The sequence below is a fragment of the Homo sapiens genome, chromosome 9, assembly GCF_000001405.40.
Source record: "Homo sapiens chromosome 9, GRCh38.p14 Primary Assembly".
NCBI classification, from domain to species: domain Eukaryota; kingdom Metazoa; phylum Chordata; class Mammalia; order Primates; family Hominidae; genus Homo; species Homo sapiens.
The window spans coordinates 105,443,426-105,466,737 of record NC_000009.12 but is presented as its reverse complement, the minus strand read 5'-3'; the positions used below and the strand labels follow the sequence as shown (position 1 = coordinate 105,466,737).

At 42.0% G+C, this 23,312-nt stretch overlaps 1 protein-coding gene across 14 annotated transcripts in view, besides 1 other annotated feature; it reads right to left on the bottom strand.

Annotated features, from left to right (window-relative positions):
• The window catches only part of FSD1L (fibronectin type III and SPRY domain containing 1 like), a 110,257-nt gene that overhangs the window by 85,696 nt on the left and 1,249 nt on the right, over positions 1-23,312 (bottom strand). For 6 of the 14 annotated variants that reach the window (NM_001330739.2, NM_001287191.2, XM_017015183.2 and 3 more), the window contains exons 1-2: positions 18,503-18,704; positions 2,407-2,502 (exon numbers count right to left, since the gene is read on the bottom strand). In NM_001330739.2, coding sequence (NP_001317668.1) covers positions 2,407-2,502; positions 18,503-18,517 — 111 coding nt within the window. In that variant the 5' untranslated portion in view covers positions 18,518-18,704. Of the gene's footprint in view, positions 1-2,406; positions 2,503-5,122; positions 5,219-18,502; positions 18,705-22,386; positions 22,456-23,312 lie in introns of those variants that run through there. The other 8 variants (XM_005252254.3, NM_001145313.3, XM_017015182.2 and 5 more) reach the window with 3 other exon arrangements.
• Positions 18,214-18,823: a silencer, noted in NCBI's record as "silent region_20153". NCBI's record gives its function as "represses an Ori minimal core promoter by ATAC-STARR-seq in GM12878 lymphoblastoid cells {active_cell/tissue: GM12878}" and the evidence as "EXISTENCE:reporter gene assay evidence [ECO:0000049][PMID:35858748]".

Below are 23,312 nucleotides of genomic sequence, written 5' to 3'. Positions count from 1 at the left end.
TAAAATAGTTCAAGATAGCTAAAATAATTATTTTTTTTTTTTTTTGAGACAGAGTCTCACTCTATCACCCAGGCTGGAGTGCAGTAGTGCGATCTCGGCTCACTGCAACCTCCACCTCCTGGGTTCAAGCGATTCTCCTGCCTCAGCCTCCCAACTAGCTGGGATTACAGGCGCTTGCCACCACGACCAGCTAATTCTTGTATTTTTAGTAGAGATGGGGTTTCACAATGTTGGCCAGGCTGGTCTTGAACTCCTGACTTCAGGTGATCCACCTGACTCGGCCTCCCATGAATGTTGTTTTTGCTAAAGATAATTTTGGTTATTCTGGTTCTTTTGTAGTTCTATATACATTTTAGAATTTTTTCTATTTCTGTGGAAAATGACATTGGTATTTGGATAGAGATTACAATGAATCTGTAGATTACTTTGGGTAGTACAAATATTTTAACAATGTTAATTCTAATCCACAAACATGGGATATTTTTCCATTCATTTGTCTTCTTAAATTTCTTTCATCAGTGTTTTATAGCTTTCAGTATACAGATCTTTCATTTCCTTAGGTAAATTTATTCCTATTTTTTTATGCTACAGCAAATGGGATTGTTTTCTTATTTTCTCTTTGAAATAGTTCGTTTTTCATGTATAGAAGCAATACTGATTTTTGTGTGTTGATATTGCATTCTGTAACTTTACTGAATTTATCAGTTCTAACAGTTTTTTGGTAGAGTCTTTAGAGTCTTCTAAAGACTGAGGCAGGAGAATCGCTTGAACCTGGAAAGCAGGAGTTTCAGTGAGCTGAGACTGCGGCATTGCACTCCATCCTGGGTGACAGAACAAGTCTTTGTCTCAAAAAAAAAAAAAAGTGGTGAGAGTAAACATCTTTGTCTTGTTCCTGACTTTACAGAAAAAGCTTTTGACTTCTCACCTTTGATAAGATGGTAGCTGTGAGATTGTTATTATACATATGGCCTTTACTGTGTTGTGGTACATTCCTTCTACACCTAATTTGTTGAGAGTCTTTATCATGAAAGGATGTTGAATTCTGTCAAATTCTTTTTCTGCATCTACTAAGATAACCATACACTTTTTTTTGTCTTTAGTTTTGTTAATATGGTGTATCACATTTATTGACTTCTGTTGAACCATCCTTGCATCCCAGGCATAAATCCTACTGGATCATGGTAAATGATCTTTTTAATGTGCTACTGAATTCAGTTTGCTAGTATTTTATTGAGGATTTTTGCATCTATGTTGATTAGGAATACTGGCCTGTATTTCTCTCTTTTGTAGTATCCCTGGTTTGGCTTTATTATTGGGATAATGTTGAATTTGTAAAAATGGATTTGGAACTACTCCCTCCTGTTTGATTTTTTTGGAAGAGGCTGAGAATAACTGATATTAGTTCTTTAAATATTTGCTAGATTTCAGTGGTAAAACCATCAGGTTGCAGGCTTTTCTTTGATGGGAGACTTCACTGTGGATTCAATTTCCTTATTCATTATTGACCTATTCAGATTTTCTATTTCTTTCTGATTCAGTCTTGGTAGATTGTACATTTCTAGCAACCAGATTATCTTGAGTTCTCTCTTCCACAATCAATATGTCACTACTTACAATATAGATTATCTCCCCAAACCTGGAACTATTTTCTTAAGTATTCCTCTCCCTTCTCAATGGGCACTTTACCTTTTATTTTTATGTTACTTTCATCTACTTCTACAAGTAGACCCCTTACCAATAACATTTTCTTTTCTTTTTGAGATGCAGTCTCGTTCTATTACCCAGGCTGGAGTGCAGTGGTACAATCAATGCTCACTGCAGCCTCGACGTCCTGGGCTCAGACGATCCTCCTACCTCAGCCTCCTGGGTAGCTGGGATGACATGTGTATGCCACCACACCCAGCTAATTTTTGTATCTTTTTTTTTTTTGGTAGAGACGGTGTCTTGCCATGTTGCCCAAGCTGGTTTCAAACTCCTGGGCTCAACCCATCAACCTGCATCAGCCTCCCAAAATGCTGGGATTACAGGCATGAGCCATCACACGTAGCCAAAATTTTTCTTCTATTGTTTATTGTAAAAGAAACGTTTTACTTGCCAGCACTTTTGAAAAACTACAAATTGCTCTTAATTTATATTAGAAAAAATGTCAAATGGAAAAGGACTAAAGTGAGCACTCTGGTATTTTCTAACAACTACTATTCCAGAGTTTTCCTTTTCCCTTACTATTTGGATTTTTCCATGGACAAAACAGGAATTGCAATGAAAACATTTTTACTTTATCTGCTATTTTAAAGCTCTGCTCTCACCTCCATTAGTTTATAACCCAAAATTCATAGAGTATATTTGTACTTCAGATTTGGCTCATTGTGACATATTTACACAAAATTTTTCATAAAACAATCATACCTGAACTCCTTTTAGTGTATGATGTAGTGTATCAATAAAGTTCTGAATTTCATCATTTTTATTTGCCAGAGTTGAAATGATCCTCTGTAGAGCTTCCTAGAATTAAGAAAAGCATTAAAATACTATATTTCAATGGAAGAGTTACAAAACTCATTAACAAGCATTCTCTAAACAAACTTTATGTAAGAGTATATTGTATAACAAATAGGAGCAATGTAAAATTTCTCATTCTTCAAAACTTCCAAAGGCTTATAATTAGAAAAGATGGGGTATATATTTGTACTGTATTAAGCCCTCTTATTCCTAATATGCAACTTAATCACCATGATACTTTTCAGATTGAAAATGATCAGTTTAACTTAATATCAATAGAATTATTTTAGGTCATCAGCCATGACAATGGAATAGAGCAAAATCTTTAAATGCTGTAAAAACAAATGGAAACGGAATACAACATCAGGAACCGAGGAATAAAAGTGAGGAGACACAAATTCATCAACATTTTATTTATTTACAAAAATAAACCTATTTTAGAGATATGAAACTAGATAATACATGTGCATTTAGAATGACAACATTCATTCCAATATTTACAGATGCTGTAGAACTATAATAAATAAAGCAATTTTAGTAGCAGATAGCTCAGACTTTGATAATGCTTCCTATTTAAATAAAACATTTGGTTAATTTTCTCTCTGGTTCGGTGCTATCCAATAAAATTTTCCACTGTGATGGAAATGTTCTATAAATGTGCTGCCCAATATGGTAGCCACTAGCCACACACAGTTAAAGAAGTCTTGAAATGTGACTAGAACTGAGGAACTAAATTTAATTTTTCCAACTTTAATTAAGTTTATATAGTCAAATGTAACCAATGCTATCATATTGGACAGCACAAGTCTAGTTGCAGTAACTCCTCATTGGTAGCAACAGCAAAAACCAAACAAGGTTATTTATAGTCTCAGAAAAAAATCAAATGCAAGTACTTTAATACTTTGTAATTTTCTCAGAAGCATAGGACTTTTTTCTGTAAGCACCTATGAGCTTAAATATTTTAATAAAGCCTATAAGACTTTGTGGAATAAAGGTTTTCCTAAAAAATATAATCAGATATCGACAAAGGGTTATAGATAAGGAGCCCAGGAAACAGTCTGAAGGGAGATAACATTTTTTTTTTAAGTTTTTTTTCTCGAGACAGAGTTTTTGGCTGTTGTCTCCCAGGTTGGAGTGCAATGGCGTGATCTCGGCTCACTGCAACCTCCACCTCCCGGGTTCAAGCAATTCTCCTGCCTCAGCCTCCCGAGTAGCTGGAATTACAGGTGTCCGCCACCACGCCCAGCTAATTTTTGCATTTTTAGTAGAGACGGGGCTTCACCATGTTGGCCAGGCTGGTCTCAAACTCTTGACCTCAGGAGATCCACCTGCCTCAACCTCCCAAAGTGCTGGGACTGCAGGTGTAAGCTACCATACCTGGCAACATTTTATACAAATGTTCATATAAAGTATTGTAGTAGTGAAAAAAGCATGTGCCACCACACATGTGCGCTATGGGAGGCCCAGGCAGGTGGATCACTTGAGGTCAGGAGTTTGAGACCAGCCTGGCCAACATGGTGAAACCCCGTCTCTACTAAAAATACAAAAATTAGCCAGGCGTGGTAGCATGCACCTGTAATCCCAGCTACTCAGGAGGCTGAGGCAGGAGAATCACTTGAACTGGGAGGTGGAGGCTGCAGTGAGCCGAGATCTCACCACTGCACTCCAGCCTGGGCAACAGAGCAAGATTCTGTCTCAAAAAAAAAAAAAAAAAAAAATGTCAGTCACAGTGGCTCATGCCTGTAATCCCAGCACTTTGGGATGCTGAGGCGGGTGGATCACCAGAGGTCAGAAGTTTGAAACCAGCCTGGCCAACATGGCGAAACCCTGTCTCTACTAAAAAGACAAAAATTAGGCAGGCGTGGTGATGGGCGCCTGTAATCCCAGCTCAGCTATTCGGGAGGCTGAGTCAAGAAAATTGCTTGAACCCGGGAGGTGGAGGTTGCAGTGAGCCGAGATCACACCACTACATTCCAGCCTGGGTGACAGAGCAAGATTCCATCTCAAAAAAAAAAAAAACAAAACTTAAAAAAACTTTCCACCAAAAAAAATTATAAAACATTGGTACCAAAAAAAAGGCAGATACAGTTCAGAGCAAAAAATAAAATCTCCTTAGCATAAAATAGCTTCCCATTTACATATTTTTTTGGTCTAAGTTTAGTAGCAAGCTTTGCATTTCAGAAATTACATAGCAAAAATCTGGAGATAGCTGTAACTTATTGCCCCAACTAGATAAGACCTGAGCTCCCAAGATTTTAATGAGAAGCCTTTTTTTTTTTTTTGAGGCTCTGTCACACAGGTGGGAGTGCAGTGACACAATCGTAGCTCACTGCAGCCTCAACCTCTTGGGCTCAAGCCATATCCACCTGCCTCATTATTTGATTTTTTGTAGAGACGAGGTCTCACTATGTTGCCCAGGCTGGTCTCGAACTTCTGGGCTCCAGCAATCCTCCCACCTCAGCTTCCCAAAGTGTTGGGATTACAGGCATGATCCCTGCTCCCAGCTAAAGCCTACCTTTTTAATGTTCCTGTTTTTTAATGAGTATAGTCAAAGACATCTAAATGCTCTAATTTTGAATCAGATCTTCAAGTTAAAACCTCTGCTCCTTTAAGAGCTACCAACCTGCTGCAAGTTAATAGACTCTGGTCCAATAGTGATGTTAGAGATCAGAAAACAGGCTTTATCAACTGTAACGTTTTCATTCTCCTTAAAGCAGTACTGTCCAATATAAATACAGTAGGAGCCAATAGCAGCCACATCAAAAAAGTAAAGGAAAAACAGGATAAATTAATTTTAATATTTTATTTAATAGATTCAAAATATATTATCATTTCAACATGTAGTCAATATTTAACAATTAATGAGTTTTTCTTTTTTTTTGGTACGGAGTGTTCAAAATTCAGTTTGTATTTTACACTTATGCATATCTCAATTCAAACTGGCCACATTTCAAGTGCTCAAAAACCACATTACGGCTAGAAGCTACCATCCTGGATAATACAGACTTAAGAGGTCTATGTCATCCAAACAGACCATATATTTCTAAGAGTGGAAATAGGGCAGAGATCCTCTATTAATCTTATTAATTTGCAATTAAAAATAAACGACCTAAAAGCTTTCTGAACTTTTTTCTTGGAAGACCAGAATTTCTTTATGTGCTTATGTTATGCCAGATTCTTGAATTATAATAGCTATATGTGGATATAAGTTAAAATGTTACAACCAACTTCCTTTACCAGAATTTCACTCATTTCTCAGTTTTTATTTACATAAATATTAACTCTAGAAGGTGAAAGACATTTTAAAATTACCAACTCTCAAAAGAAATTGGTACATAAGTAACACCACTTCGGGGTCCAATACCATAACAGAAGAAACAAATACACTCCTCTCTCCTGTGAAATTTACACCGTTCACTCATGTTTTGGGTTAGAGAAGACTTCTTGGGATCACAGAAAGTGCAAATGTCCACGTCAAAGTTGGCAGCTAACAAAAACAAGACTGCACCTAAGGACAACTGACATACAGGTTAGACAAATTCAAAGAATCATCAGAATAATGCCTTCCATTTTCTATGATACTATCGCATACCTCCAAAAAAATACCACCCTTAGATTACAGTCAATCTTTTTTTTTTTTTTTTTTTGAGATGGAGTCTCACTCTGTCACCCAGGCTAGAGTGCAGTGGTGCAATCTCGGCTCACTGCAACCTCTGCCTCCTGGGTTCAAGCAATTCTCCTGCCTCAGCCTCTCGAGTAGCTGGGATTACAGGTGCAAGCTACCGTGCCTGGCTAATTTTTTGTATTTTTTGGTAGAGATGGGGTTTCACCATGCTGGCCAGGCTGGTCTCGAACTCCTGACCTTGTGATTCACCCACTTCGGCTTCCCAAGTGCAAGGATTACAGGGATGAGCCACCACTCCCAGCGATTACAGTTAATCTTATCTTTACCATTCCTCTTAAATTCATTCAAAATTCTATTACCACAGATGAAAGACCCTTTTCAACTGTATTGGCCTAAGATGTATTAATAGCCATACTTCTGGAAAGAAACTCTACAATCTGTGTTAAAGCCTTTAGGGGAATGATATCCTATATGAATTGCCTAAGGCTGTAAAAATACTGTACTTCCCCAGAAAGTGGATGAGAAAGAAAGGTCTTTAAAGGCTGATATAGTATTTCTGAGAAACACAGTCTCATTCTTTGAAGAGAGAGCACTCTACAGCTCTTGAATTTAACAAGGAGTTCCAGTACAGCATGAGAGTCTGTAATACACACCTAGATAAAGGGTCCACATTCTGAGAAAAGTTGCTTTACCCTAATGCCAAAACTGCAAAGACTAAAGGCCTAGATTATTTTCAGAGGACGCACTGCAATCTTTAGATGAGGAGGGCTTCAGAGCCTTGGCTACAATACACCACTGAGATGCTATCAGAATGGACAAGCCAGCTGTAGAGGACTCTGGAACCCCAGCATTTAAGATCATCTATATTTTCAAAGCTACCGAATACATTAGTAAACCTGGCTGCAGAAAAAGCAACCATTCAGATCATAAAGAGAAAGTCATAGCAACCAATGTGACCTTGTTAGCTAATACAGATAAAATGCTGCCTCTCTGCTAAGCTTTTCTAAGCTTAAAGGAGGAAGGAAATATTCGCAAAGTTCCCCAAGGGCAGACTACTGAGACAAAGGCTCCAGAAGCTCTGATCCACTTGCCCTTTAATCTGCAACTGCTGTAGAGAGGATGAGCAAATGAAAAAGACTGTAATCCAAGGCTCATATTTAGCATTCTAAAATAGTAAGTTTATCAGGGAGAGGGCCAAGGCTTCAACCTTTCTGACCCTCACAAGAATGGGGACTGGCTGGAACTAAGTGGAAATGGCATAAAGATAAAAAGCACTAAGGAACTTGGTGCTCAGTAGAACTGGAAAACAAGTTACAAGGAATCAGAATATTTAAGACAAAACTACCACCACAGCACCAAAACATATGAAAACTAAAGAAACAGGATTACATGTGCTGAGTTCTGAAACTTGACCCTAGCTTGCATATGTGACATAAAGCTAAAATTTTCTCTATGGTGGTAGGAGTCAAGTAAAAGGTGTATATAAGGATAGTATGTGCCTAATCTAGGAGGTATACAAGGGGAGACTGGCTGAACAGGCATCAAATCCAGCAGTTTTTAAAAAGTGTTTTCTAGATATGGTAGGCAATATGCCAGGGCAGAGAAAGAGAGCAGAAAAGATCTAAAATATATCATAATTCAACGAGTTTTCTACCCCAGTCTATCCCTCCAGGACCTCCAAATTTAATCAAGAGCGAAGACAGAAAGCTAGGCCATCATCACTATCTCCTCTCCTCTAATTTGTGCTCTACGTGAAGTCACAAAGTTCTATAGATTTTACCCCTTAATGGTTCTAGTGATAGCAGCAGGAGGCAGACGTAGTCCTAGGCAGATAGGGGTGGGTCCCTGGTGAAACCTGACCTTCAGGCCAAAGACAGTCTGAAGCCTGAAAACTGGGCTGCCAGTTCCTGATGGAATCCACAACCCTGAATAAGAATTTCCTTTATGCCTTTCAGTCAAACAAATGGTGCTTTTTCCACGCCCACCCATGGACCAATCAGCACATACTTCCTCCTGCCCATGGACCAATCAGCATGCACTTCCCCACTTTGAGCCCATAAAAACCCTGGACTCAGCCATCTATCAGGACTACCCATTTCAGGACTCCTCTCCACTGAGAGCTGTTCTGTCACTCAGTAAAACTCTCCACTGCCTTGCTCACCATCCAGTTGTCCATGCAACCTCATTCTTCCTGGACGCAGGACAAGAACTCAGGAACCGCCAAAAGGCAGGCGCAGAAAGGGCTGTAACACTTTCCTGGCCCACTTGCCAAGCTGCAGACAGGAGCAAAAGGGGCTGTAACATGTTCCTGGCCAGCTCACCAAGCTGCAGACAGTGACATGAACTGCAGGAGTGAAGAGTAGCAACACTTCTAAGGGCCTAGACCTCGGGATTCCCTGAGCCAGAGCTGTAACACTATAGCCCTCCCAACTTCCACCAGCATCAGGCGGCTGCCCCACATGACAGCAAGTGACAACGGGATTGGGCCAGCCTGGGAGCCACGGGCCCAAGCAAGGTGGCAGGACTGAACAGGCTGAAACATGCCCTGCCACTCCCACTGGCCAAGCTGCAGGTGGCAGGAACAAGAGAGGTGTAGCACCCCTGCCCCCGACCCCTTGGGGCTCTGCAGTTACTGGCATCTCTGAGTTTTCAGGCACCACTGTGTTCACTTCATCCAGACGCAGGCACCCACAGAGGAAGCCACTTGCAGTATGCTTGGTCCAGCTGCAGCCTCGCATGGAGCCAGTGACTGTGCCAGTGCCCGGAGCTGCCCGTATGGCCACAGCAGCCAGCATGCTAGGCTGTGCACAGTGGCCGGACCCCAAACTCACTCGCTCGCTCACACACCCCTCACTGCTCCATGCCTGGCTCGCCCTCGGCAGGTGTGGGATCCAGGCCAGCAGCATGAGCTAAGCACAGCCTGCCAGGCCAAGTGGGCAGAACAAGCCCAGCCGGCATGAGTGAAACTCAAGGAGAGACACTGCCAGCTACAGAGGTTTCTAGCTGGTTAAGAAACATCCAAAGTATCCTGTGACATTAGAATTATTACTACTATCTTAGTAAAAGTTACTATCATATCTCAACCTATATCTCAACCTTCACTGTAGCAAAATTTTTCTTAATCAGACTCTGGTAACAATCTTTCTCCCCAGTAATCAGTTCTCTATATACTTCAGCTAGGGTAATGATAGCATCACTCTTCCTGATCAGTATTCTTCAATAGCTTCCCATTGTACCTTGGATAAAACTGAAAATCTTTAACATGACCTATAAGATCTCAAATGATCTGTCCACTGCCTACCTCACCTGCTTCATCTCCCCAGACTTCCTCTCCCTTGTTACACTCCAGCTGCATAGCCTGCTATGAATTTATCTAATCTGACTTGCTTTCTACCTAGGAGCCCTCTCACTTATCAGTTTCTCTACCTATAACCTCTGTCCTAAAACATATACACAATGTACTGATAAAACAAATTCCAAAAATGTACTTATAGAATGAGCCCATGTTACATATAGTCATTTCATTTTTTTTTCTAATCAAAGCCTTATGGGTAAAGAAGGGCAAAGACAACTTTCATCTGCCCCATGGGATTCTATCAACCTTAAAGGATGCCTACGAAGGTCTCAGATTTTTATATCAGATCTCAAGCCTCCCGTTACCTTACAAACACTGATGGATAAATAGATAAACAGAGATGAATAAAGGCAATATAAATTATCTGAAGCTTATCTAGAAAATTATATTTTATAAGATTCATGTGGTGACAACTAAAAGTTCTAGGTGACACAGGTCTGAAGACATGTTTTGACAAATGCCAATTCTGCTAGATCATAGTAAAATATATGAGATAAGTCTCCATAGGAAGTCTGCACAGGCAATCTCAGCAAATGTCTTTTGGTGATGTAGCACAATTACCAGGCCCTCATAACAACAACAAAAAAATACAATGATGTGACTATGGATTTAGACTAAGGCAACTGCTACACCAACAAGAAAAAGCATCATATACACCCTAGCCAAGCACAACTGCAACCACTGTTATGGAATGAATCAAAGTAATCTAAGATGTACAAGATATAAGTTACTCTCTTCAACGCAGCACAGCTTAAAGTTATGTTTATAATCATTATCAATCAAGTAAAAGGATAATCAATAGACTGAGCAAAAGAGCACTTTGGTACTCTTAAGTGCCAAGTACTATCTTAAGCTCTATACATATTATTAATTCATTTAATCCTTTCAAGAATCCTATGAAGTAAGTTACTATTATTATCCTCATTTTCCAATGAGGAAGCTGACGCATGGAGAAGTTAAGCAGCTTGCCTAGAATATCAAAGCTAATATGTCACACAGCCAGGATTCAAATTAAGACAGTTTGATTCCTAAGTCTATGCTCTTAAAGGACTACACTGTACTACCTAATAAAACAGAGATCAGAGGTTCATGAAAAGGTCAGAACGGCTAAAGGCATCCAAAGGACTAAGATTTTACTTCAAGATTAGAAATCTGGAACTGATCAACAATCTGGAAACCTGGAACTGATCAACAGGTTATAACCCCAAATCAGAGGGCATCAGCATCCATGTGGTCATAATTAGAGAAATGCTGACATATGGGTTTCCCACCAGCATCTTCTCAGAGGAGGAGAAGACTTCTGAGTCAAATTCTACAGTAGTATTCCAAAAAATCAAGATACAAAAATCTAGAGCCCCTGCAAATACCACAAATAGATCTATAATTTAAGGGGGTCAAACTATTATTATAGCCAATTTAGTTAGTATTTCATTAAGCACCTTCTATGTGCCAGGCACTGTGCTGCTAATATGGAGTAACTTTTTAATCATCAAATCTGATAAAAAAGTAGTATGAGTCTTCACATTTTATGGTTGGAAAAAGGAAAGATTCAAGATGTTAAGAAACTTGTTTTAGGTCACACAGCTATCAACTGGCAGTCATGATTCAAATTCAGGAGGTTGTCCCCAGAACCTCTGCTTTTCAAATCCAGGAGGTTGCCTCCAGAGCCTGTACCCTAGGCTGCCTAAACTGTTGGGGATTGTATGAAATAATCATAGGGTTCCTGCAACCAGAGGAAAGGGATTGATCAAATCAGCATGTAACATTCCTGGAAAATGCCCAATAATGCCACCAGAAATGATGCCACTTGCATCATCCCACACATAGACCTGTCCTTTGAATTAGGTGACTTCATGCTGAACCCCTCCATCGACTCCAGTGGGGATGGCACCAGGTTCAAGAGGCTGAAGAAACCCAGAGCCACCAAATGAGGCATGGTATTTTATTAAGGGATTACATACAAGGGAGAGAGTCCAGTGGTGGCAGGCTGAGCAGGAGAACTGCCTTATATACAGAAAAGGTCCAGTGGCAGTGGGCTGGACAAGGTAACTACACAGCCCAGTGAAGCTCAGAAGACACATTCAGGTGAGTCTGCCATACAGGATCATTCTAATAGTATGCTTAAACTACTGCTGTTAGGTAGGTTTACCATACAGTGATAAAGAGCGGAATCAAGAAAGCGCTATCCAGCTGTTAGCTAGATAATCAGAATCTCACCAGTTATTTTAACAAAAGTATCATGCTCAGATGTGATGCAAGAAGGTGAAAAAAAGAGAACTGGGAAATTCAGGAATCTAATCATAATATACCTAAATGATGGAAGGCTACACCCTCTCTAACAGTGAAACAGTTGAGAACACTACCTGTACACAGATGTAACTGAGACAGCCTACAATCAATTCTGATTGTCTAGCTTACCAGCTGAGAAAAAGTCTAAATGCTAGTAAAAGAACTGGCTGGGGAATGCTGCCTTTCTGCCCTGAACCCAGTTTAAGATATCACAGCATATGAGGAGGTAATCTCCCATCTAGGATTTGAGGAAAATAAAGCACACCAGAGGATAAAGAAGCCTTAACCATGTGCAGTGGCCTTTGAACTGGCTGTTTTACCCAGTAAAGTCAAGGAGGCTCATAGTCGGCCAAAGAAACCAGAGGTCCTACCATTTAATGAAAGAAGGTGGCATTGGAGTGGAGATGCGAGTATTAGTATAAACTAACAACCCTTCTCAAGGGCAACTTGACAATATGTATCAAATAAAATTTTTGAAATAGATATACATTGACTCAGTAATTCCATTTCTAATTTATTGTAAGTGAATAATTAAGGGTGTAAGCAGAGACTTGGCTACAAGGATGCTTATCTGTGATATTTATAACATTAAAAGGTTGGGATCAACAAAAAGATACAACAAAAGGGTACTGTAAAACATGCATACAAAAGAATTCTGTTGAATCATTAAAAGTATTGTAGAATGATTAATATGGAAAAATATCCATAATTTATTATGTGAAATGCAAATTATAGAGCAGCATATATAGCATGATACCATAATTTTAGAAAAGTTTTTATATGCATACCAAAAAACTAGATGGTGACATAAATGTTGAAGAGGTTATCTCTGGGTGGCAGAATTGAGTGGTTTTTATTTTATTTTCACTTTATTTATATTCTTATTTTCCTACAATAAACTTGTATTACCTATATTTATAATGCAATAGAAATGCAAAAGCTGGCTACGTTAATACTTTTTTAATAAATTAGTTCAAAATTCAATTAACAGCAATCAACAAGCATCAATAACTGAAACCAGATTCTATCAGAACCTTGTGGCTGGGAAGAAGTGCCAACAAAGAGTGAAAAACATATTTTTAAAAGTCTGGAGATAAAATCCACCAACTTTAAAATATTTTCCACCCTAAGAGTAGAATATCTAGCACTACAGCAAACATTCAATATGTGTTTACTGTATAAATAATCCTGCTTACATTCAGCCACGCATTGCAAACAAGCACTATGTTAAAATTTTTTTAAAAAAAGGTCTGCTTCACTATCTTTCTAATTTTTAAAAACTGCCAAGTTCAATTGAAAAATGAATGTATCTGTATTATATATAGTGGTCATAAGTATGTCAATATGGTATTCATTTCTACTTTCTTGCTCACAGTTCTACTATAGAAAGCTAAGACATTCCCTCAAAAGAGTTGAAAAAAGGGGAAAGATACATGCAGACAGACATGCACACACACGCACACACACACACACACAAAATAAAAATAGTAATTTTAGGCCAGGCGCAGTGTCTCCTGCCTGTAATCTCAGCACTTTGGGAGGATCATCTGAGGTCAGGCAGGAGTTCAAGACTACCCTGGCCAACATGGCAAAACCCCATCTCCACTAAAAATTTAAAAAATTAGCTGAGTGTGGTGGCGGGCGCCTATAATCCCAGCTACGAGGGAGGCGAAGACACAAGAATCTCTTCAACCCAGGAAGCAGAGGTTGCAGTGAGCCAAGATCATACCGCTGCACTCTAGCCTGGGTGGCAGAGCAAGACTCTGTCTCAAAAAAAATTAAAATTAAAATTAAAATAGTGATTTTTATTTGGGGCAACAAGAGAGACCAAATTCCAGGTTTTTACCTAAATCATGTTCTTTATCATCTATCAACTATTTTCACTACACTTAACTAGCTTAACAAAAAAAAAAAAAAAAAAAAAACAACTTTAGGTCAGACGTGATGGCTCATACCTATAATCCCAGCACTTTAGGAGGCCAAGGCGGGTCAATCGTTTGAGCCCAAGAGTTCAAGGCTAGCCTGGACAACATGGCAAAACCCTGTCTCTACAAAAAACACAAAAATTAGCCAAGTATATGGTGGCATGCACCTGTAGTCCCAGCTGCTCAGGAGGCTGAGCTGGGAGGATAGCTTGAGCACAGAAAGCAGAGGTTGCCATGGTGAGCCATCAGCCTGAGCAAGACAGCAAGACTCTGAGAAAGAAAAAAGAAAAGAAAAAGAGAGGAGAGGAGAGGAGGAAAGAAGGAAAGAAGGAAGGAAGGAAGGAAGGAAGGAAGGAAGGAAGGAAGGAAGGAAGGCAGGCAGGCAGGCAGGCAGGCAGGCAGGCAGGCAGGCAGGCGAGCGAGCGCCCACAGGAGGGAGGGAGGGAGGGAACCCTGCTTTATAGGGGCTTATCCCTGTTACATTTTAAGTTTCAATTACTTTAATCATACCACCATTGAAATGCAAAGAATTCAGGCAAGAAGCGTGGTAATGAAAAAACTATGGGTTGTAAAGAAAAACTTGACTTGAATCCAGACTACTATTTGCTAGCTGTGTGACTGTGAACAAGACACTTAACCTCTCTGGGCTTCATTTTCCCTAACAGTGCAACAGGAATAAGAACTGTTGTGACAGTCCGACACAATACTGGATGCAGAACAGTAATCAAATTTCATTCCTCTTTCCTCAGGAAACAATTTTTTTTAACTGAGGCGTAATTTTGGAACATGGAACAGTTGGTTGGTTATGGATGTGGTGGGGTTCTCAGAACTAGTAAGGTACAATATGAAGGCAAAGAATAGCACATAGCTTGGAGCAGGAAACTGGGATAAGGAAGCCAAGTGTAGATCTGCTACTTGTTGCAGGTTGTCATGTTTAAAACTCCTGCTCAGTTCAATCTCCCCAATCTAGTTTTGTCCAGTCAAGCCTCACCTGTCACTCACTACCCCTTTCCAAGTAGGAAGAATATGCAGGAAAAATAATGGGGAAAAGCAAACAAGTGACAATATATGCTCTTGGTGACTTCCTTCCTCTGAGCTCTCATCTCCCTTCCTCTCCACCCTTTCTTATTCCTACAGTAAGTACCTTTCTTAGAAAGAGTGATCCCTATGTATGTGAATAATCTGTACAAAAAGTTAAACTATAAAATTCCAAGCTCCAAGATTCTAAAAAGGTACAAATGTCTTATTTGTTTCAACGTTTTCTTTGAACGTGCACATTTCATCCGGTAAAGAAACCTTTGGGATTTTATCTTAAAGCCGTTTAAAGGCATAATCAAAAGGTTTGAGTATCAAACAAAAGCCACCTATCCATAACACATCCTGTTCACGAAAGCGTCCCAGAAACTCGATATAAACAAAATCCCTCTGTTTATTTCCAGGAGTTAATACTGTGGTTTTCTGTATCCAACAGTATGCCTACATACCCGGGGTTATTACGTTTTCTTCCTCTACTCAAACAGAGCATCTGCTGCTAACATTAACACTGAAGTCCAAGTTATTTTCACAAACAAAAAAGCAGCTGGTCAAGCTAATCCATTTGTTGACTAGCCACCATGAAGCTTCTGTAAGACTGCCTAGTTAAGTTAACCTCTACTGTCAGACTGCATGACTCAGAACTTCCAAACCTCTTTCTATTAGAATGTAACAACTCTTCTCTGGAACCACCATGTGAATCGTTTCTTACAGATATAATAGCAGAAAAGATGCTTTAAAAGTAAAAATGTCGGGCCGGGCGCGGTGGCCCACGCCTGTAATCCCAGCACTTTGGGAGGCCGAGGCGGGCGGATCACGGGGTCAGAAGATAGAGACCATCCTGGCTAACATGATGAAACCCCGTCTCTACTAAAAATACAAAAAATTAGCCAGGCGTGGTGGCGGGAGCCTGTAGTCCCAGCTACTCGGGAGGCTGAGGCAGGAGAATGGCGTGAACCTGGGAGGTGGAGCTTGCAGTGAGCCAAGATCGCGCCACTGCACTACTCCAGCCTGGGCCACAGAGCGAGACTTCGTCTCAAAAAAAAGGAAAAATGTCTACACTTAATTTTAAAAGGAGAAAGTTACTTTGAAGTTAGGATTATTAAATTAATAACAGTAGCTAACAGTATTTTTGTATGCTAGGCACTGTTTAGTGGGTTTTAAAAATGAATGCAAGACCGGGCACAGTGGCTCAAGCCTGTAATCGCAGCGCTTTGTGAGGCCAAGGCTGGCGGATCACCTGAGTGAGGTCAGGAGTTTGAGACCAGCTGGCCATCATGGTAAAACCCCGTCTCTACTAAAAATACAAAAATTAGCCAGGGGTGGTGGCAGGCGCCTGTAATCCCAGCTACTCAGGAGGCTGAGGCAGGAGAATCTCTTCAACCCAGGAGGCGGAGGTTGCAGTAAGCCAAGATTGCACCGTTGCACTCCAGCCTGGGCGACAAGAGCAAAACTCCGTCTCAAAAAAAAAAAAAAAAGAACACAATCCTCACAATAATCTTGTGAGAGAATTACAATTATTGTTATCTCTGTTTTACAGATGAAGAAATGGAGACAGAGCAAACTATCCCAGCTCATACAGCTTATAAATAGTAGAACTGGAGACTTGGCTCCAGAGCCATCCTCTTACTAATGTAAAGCCCAAATCCCAATGCCTAACAAACATTCAGGTATATATTCAGGCCTTCCTCACACTTTGCAGTACCTATTTTTCTTATACTCTACTGACTGAGGTACTACCCCTACTACTATTTTCAATGTACATTCCATAACAGAAAATAGTATCTAAAAATCATGTCTGGGGTGTACTACTGTCTTATTTAAAGAGAACAATATCCAGCTTAGATCATTACTATTTGAGGCTTGTGATTCTGCAGGAATTCATACGAGAAAAGGAAGCTCAGGTTCAGAGCACTGAACTGGTTATACACATTAATCCCGGACATTCTTTTTACAGCTATAAACCAAAGGGTGTTTGTTTTTTCATTAGAAAGATTTGGTACCACCAATGAAATTCAACATATTTTCTAATATTGAGAAGTTGATTCTCAAAGATATCACAAATAAGATACATTACTACTACTACTAAGAAAGAGAAGCTAATTCTTTGCTACCTCTCAGGAAACTGCACGTGGTAACCTGTAGGTACCCTAACACATCATTCGAAATGAGAACAAATAGGTTCAAATCTTAGCCTTAGGGCTAGTAGCATGACCTTCCAGGAGTCACAACTCATTAAAGTAAGGAATAATGCATCCCTGATAAAGTATGATGATCAATATTAAAACACATTTTTTTGTATTTTATGGGACACAGTATTTTAGTGGTCATACTTTGTAAACTTTAAAATGCTGTGTTTTCAGAACAAACTATTTTATCAGATTTTTACTATGACACTATAAAATACTCTTACTTCTACTGCATAGATGAGGAAACAGATTAATCACAGTTAAGTGACTTGCTCCTTATCACAGAGCTAGTAAATAGCATCCTGGAACCCATGTCTCCGGACTTTGCTCCTTCACTTGACCTCTGCTAATGTCCATTCAAATATCATTTCTTTTATCTAATAAGCTGAGAGATGTTTTACAAATTTAGGCAGAGACAATATTTTAAACCTATACATACTCAAAATACACAAAATCTAATTTTTAAAAAATGCCTTAAGAATAGTCATGCATTCCAAGGTGAGTTTCAAGACCAACACATACAATGAAATCATATGCATATTTGTTAAATACTGTAATAGTCAATGCTCAACACATCATTATTCTCTCATGCCCTCAGTGAAGTGATCCTCAAGAAGGTGAATGTAGACAAAATTGTAGAAAACGTTGTTCTAAGTCTTTCCCGTGCTTTCTAATAATAGAAAAGAATAGTCTCTTAGATATGTCTTTGTTTTCCCTGCTACATTATTAATACTCCTTGTTTTTTCTTTCCTACCCTGTACTATATTTCAATTACGTTATAGTCTAACAAAGAGAACAGGGTGGTTATTTTCATATGGAGATTATGACTGAATAATTCACTTCTAACTGTATTCAAGACATTGGCTTTGTTCTCCAAATACTTCTGAATTGAACCTTTACGATTATATAACCTTTCCTCAACTGTTCGGAAAGTATAAAACATTCCACAACGACCCCTAAGTAACTGTGCCCAGCAACACCAACTGGTCAGAGAGTGGGAAGGCTGCCCTAACAATTGAAGTCTTTTCCCTCCATTCAACGAACACTAAACACTAAGATCTACTTAGGAAAAGTCATGGGAAGGGGAGCGGTGGGCGGTACAAAGGAGATTCGGTCCCTGACCTAAAGAGCGTGGTGCTGAGACGAGACTTGGTCGAGGAGAAAGCCCCAGCTTTCGGCGTCAGCAGGGAGACACCAAAAAGGCTGTGCCTCGGTTTCCTCACCTGCTGAGGAGGGATACACCCCCACCAGCACGCTCGCAGTCTGCAGGCATGAAAACCGGCCTAAAGCGCTGCAGAGTGGCTGATTTTAAAAGGGGGATGGCTCCGTTTCTCCTCCAGAGTCAGGGCCCCGGACAGCGCGCAGAGCAGAGGCCAGCCCGAGTCACCGGGCGCGGTCCCCGCATCCGTGTGGGCGCCTCTTAGCTCCCGCCCAGAGAGCGGCCGGGCGGCCTTGCCCTCCGCAGCAGCAGCCCGGACGCCCGGCCAGGCCCACCCCGCGCACCCACAGCCCACGGGCCCAGGCGCCCCGCCCACCCTGTGCCGGCCCGGCTTGTCTCGGTAGCCCCGGGCTCCCCTCCCCCGCTTACTTTCTGGGAGTCCATGGCGAGTGGCTAAGCCCACTGGGCTCGAACCCGAGACGACGAACCGTGTGAGGAGGCTCAGCGAGATCGCACACCCCAAGACCGCTACTCACTGCACTGCCCCAGCCCGCACCGGCACCGCCCGGCCCCACCCGTCCGCGCCCAGACCGCGCGCGCCGTAGTCACGCCGCGGTTGCCAGGGTGAAAGGGCGGCCCGCAGAAGGGAGGGGCTGAGGAGCGCACCGCGCCTGCGCGCAGCGGCTGACTGCTCCCGGGAAGTAGCCGTGGAGGGTGGGGAGCGCCGCCCGTCTGTCTACCGCTAGTGCCTCTGCAGGCTGCACTCCCTTCCCCCATCCTTTTTCCTCCAGCGATAGCGGTCTCTCCGGCCCTGAAATAGGCCACTGGGCATCCAGCAGCCGGCCGGTGCGGAGGGCCCGGGAAGGAAAGAGTATCTGGTGCTGGAGACGGATTAGCCCACCCTCCACCCAGCACGCATCTGAAGCCCCTCCCCACACTATCCTTCGAGGGGCAGCCAGGCTTGAGCGGACCCAGCGGTCCAAAGGGAGGAAAAGGGCTGGGGTGGGGATGTAGCGAAAACGTGGGAAAAGACCTTTAGGGGATGTGGTGGAAACGTGGGAGGAGGGATATAGGGATGAGAGTGGCGGAAACGTGGGTGTGGGATTAATATGAGCTTTGGGGCCTGGCACAGTTTTTCCCGGGGACCCACCCATCCTCCCCGGCACCTCGCTACCTGTATGATTTTGAGCAAGTCAGTCTGCCTGAGCTTGTTTCATCTGTAAAATGAGAGAAATAATGCGGACTTTGCAGAGGATTGTGAGGATTAAATAACGTATGGTACATAATTAGTAGTGAATAAATTATAGTCATTCTCTTTTTTTTTTTTTTTTTTTTTTTTTGGAGATGGAGTCTCGGTCTGTCACCGAGGCTGGAGTGCAGTGGTGCCATCTTGGCTCACTGCAACCTCTGCCTCCCGGGTTCCAGGAATTCTCGTGCCTCAGCCTCATGAGTAGCTGGGATTACAGGCGCCCCCACCACACCTGGCTAATTTTTTGTACTTTTAGCGGAGACTGGTTCTAGCCATGTTGCTTAGGATGGTCTCGAACTCCTAAGCTCAGGCAGTCCGCCCACCTCAGCCTCCCAAATTGCTAGGATTACAGGTGTGGGTTACAGGGCATGTGCCAGGCCCATTATAGTCATTCTTAGTGGGGAGTTAGAACCTGCTCGGTGTGGCCTGAGGCATCAATGAAGATTTTAGAAAGCTTGGAATTTAGTAGGCTTGAGAAAGTTCTTCCTCAAGCAGACAGGCCTCATCTTCCATTTGGATGACTCTGGAGAGGCTCACAAAAGTTCAATTAGACAGTCATTTATGATGAATGAATAAAAGGGAAATACATATTGAGTACCTATTCTGTACCAGTTCTACAAACAAAATTCAGTAGTGGGCAAGGCCCTGTTTCTCTCACAGAGCTTACAATCTAGTATAGAAGACCAACCAAAAAAAAAAAAAAAGTTAACGTGCTAGACGGTTATAGGTGCTAAAATTAAAACTTAGGCCAGGCATGGTGGCTCACACCTGTAATCCCAACACTTTGGGAGGCCCAATGAGTGGATCACTTGAGTCCAGGAGTTCGAGACCAGCCTGGGCAACATGGCAAAACCCCATCTCTACAGAAATTAAAAAAAAAAAAATTAGCCAGACGTGGTGCTGCAAGCCTGTAGCCAGAGCCAATCAGGAGGCTGAAGCGGGAGGATCACTTGAGTCCTGGAGGCAGAGGTTGCAGTGAGCCTAGATCACACCACTGCACTCCAGCCTGGGCAACAGGGTGAGACCCCAGCTCCTAAATAAATAAATAAGGCAAATGGATTCAGAGAATTGGGAGGGTTTAATTTTTCATAGAAATGTCAGGGAAGATCTCTCTTGGAAATGACCTGAGTATAAAGTGAGAAGAGGAATTGTACAAGGATCTAGGGAAGAACATTCTAGAAAGTAGGAACAACAAATACAAAGGCCTTGTGGAGAGAAGGAGCTCTGTGTTTGAGAAACAGCATTTATTCTACAATGTTGTCATTACATCTCCACATGGATCCCCCTGACTGTACTGTGATTTTTTTTTTGAGGGCTGAATTTCTTTTACCCCATATCTGTATCCCCAGCTCAGAGTCTGCCACATAGTATGCACTTAATACATCCTTTTTTAACTGGACAGAGATGTACAAGAAATGAAATGAAAGTTACAAAAGGGAAAAGAAGAGCTTGGCTAAGGCTGGGTGGGTAGTGCTTAGAGAGCCAGGGTCCAGGGTGGGCCTATGTGTGCCAGCTGAAAGGAGTAGTGGCATGCAGTCCTTCAAAGAGATGCCCATCTCTTAGTACCAAGGGAAGAGAGCCTCTTATTCAACCTTTCCCAACTCCGTGAGGAATAACAAGTGCAGCCAGGCGCCAAGCCATTAGCCCACTGCTGCAGCCACAAAGGTCGTTCCTTCACACTGTGTACTGCAGTTGAGTCAGTTTCCCATGAGGGAGAAATAGCCTGGCGATTGGAGAACATCTAAAGTCTACTCACCAGACTGCGTGCTTCCTGGCTCTGCCCCTGCTTGCCACTATGGGACCCACGACTAAGCAGAGGAGACAGGGCTTGGCGATGTCCCCACTTCTCTTGCTGCAAGGACTTAACCTCATTACTGTCTGAGGGCAATTCCTAGGCACTTTATGACTGACAGGCACCACCAGAGAAAGAAGAAAGAGGCTTTTGGGGACAGTGAGTTGCAGCTGAAATGTGATCACCAGACTCTGTCACAGTCCACACCCCAGGAGCTCACTCCTGGCTCCTTGCCTCCAGCTTCCCAAGTTCTTTCCCTGTAGCCCAGCCAGCAGACTGCAGCTTTTGACAACATCTCTACCCCATTTGGCTTCTGCCCTCACCTGATCTCTGTCTCTGGCCAGTCTGGCTCTCCTGCCCAGCTCATCCTGGGCCTTTTGCTTCCCCTCGTTCCCATCTGGGAAACAGCTAGTTCCTTCTGACTGTGACTTCTGTCTTCCCCAGTTTGTACAAGTTCTCCCATCACAGCCACGTACCGAGCTGGGCTCTAAGTCTCCCACCCAATCCCTCCCAGTACCTCTGGCCTATAGGCAAGTCCTTTGCCTTTTCTGTACTTATTTTTTCACAGCCAAATCCATTTAGAAATTTTCAAAAGTAGTTTTACAAATAAAATAAAGCATTTTTCTTAAATGTGATCCCTGGACCAGCTGAATCCACATCACCTCATAACTTCTATGAAGTACAAATTGTCCAGCCTTATCCCTGGATCTACTGAATCAGGAACTCTTGGAGTAGAATCCAAAAATCTGTGTTTTAGCATTTCCTCTAGGTGATTCTGATGAACTCTAAGCTTGAGAGCCATTGAACTGCGAGAAAGCAAATTGTTTACAAAAAAAGGGGTCGGGGAGAGGACTACAGAGGCATAAAAATATCAGTTCAAAACCTAGGTTTCTGGTTCTTAAAAAGCCTATCTAGTCATAGACATTTATCCTCTTGAGGTCTCTGGGCCTCCAGGAACCTCTTTCTGAGGAAACCTCAAGTTAGGATAGCCTCATAGAAAGGCTGATGTAGAGAGTCTGGCAAAACTGTCTCTCCCAGAACCAGGTTCTGTATCCTCTCTGAGTGGTGCCAGGTATTGCCTGCAGCCCTGGGCTACCTCGTATATTCTGAAATTCCCCCATCTCTTAGGAGAGAAATTTCCTTCCTTTCAGTGTTGCCAGCAGTCTATCCCTTTGGGAGTCAGTATAGGGCCATCAGCATGGAGTCAGCAGTGTGAATTTAAATCCAGATGCTGCTGCTTACCAGCAACGTAGCCTTCAGTGAGTCACTTACCTTGCTAAACCTCAATTTCCTCGTCTGTAACATACCGATCAGAATAGTAGTAATTCCCTTTTAGGGTTGCTGTGAGGATTAAAGGGGATTATGTAGGTCAAATGCTGGCTAGTATTATTTAACAAGTAGTAGCTGTTACTAATAATTACTCTCTTACTCATAATGTCCTTCTGTTTTACCCTTGCACAGCTCTTTTTCCTTCTGGATCTTTGGGGCCTTAAAAGACCTATTCTCACCACAACTCCCCCTTTCCCTGTTATACCTGTTTTTTCTGGAGTATAATCACTAGTCAAATGCTGCCCTTTGTTGAAGCCCAAAATCTTTGCCCGTTGCTCCCTGCTACTATATCTGGCCTGAGTCTTAGCATTTGCCACCCAGCCTGGGAAGACTCCAAGGCTCTCTAAGCCTCAGTTTCTTTAGCTGTGAAATAGAGATCATAAAAGTAGCACCTATAAGGGTTGTTGAGTGGTAAATCATATAATTCATATTAAATTTTGAGCACAGTGTCTGGCATGTAGTGAGCATTCAAAAAATATTAGCTATCTCTTCCCAACCATAGAAACCTAATTCTGATTTTTTTTTAACAGAGACATGGTCTTGCTGTGTTGGTCAGGATGGTCTTGAACTCCTGGCCTCAAGCAGTCCTCCCACCTTGGCCTCCCAAAGTGCTGGGAATATAGGCATGAGCCACCATGCCCGGTCTTGTTTTTCCTGCCCTTTTCTGAGTAAAATCCAAAGTCACCCAAAATCCCTGCAACCCCTTGGAAGTCAAAGCAAAAATTTCTGATCCTGGGCACTCATTATAGACAGAGTCTGCCCAGGAGGGTGATATGGTTTGGCTGCATCCCCACCCAAATCTCATCTTGAACTGCAGCTCCCACAATTCCCATGTGTTGTGGGAGGAATCTGGTGGGAGGTAATTGAAT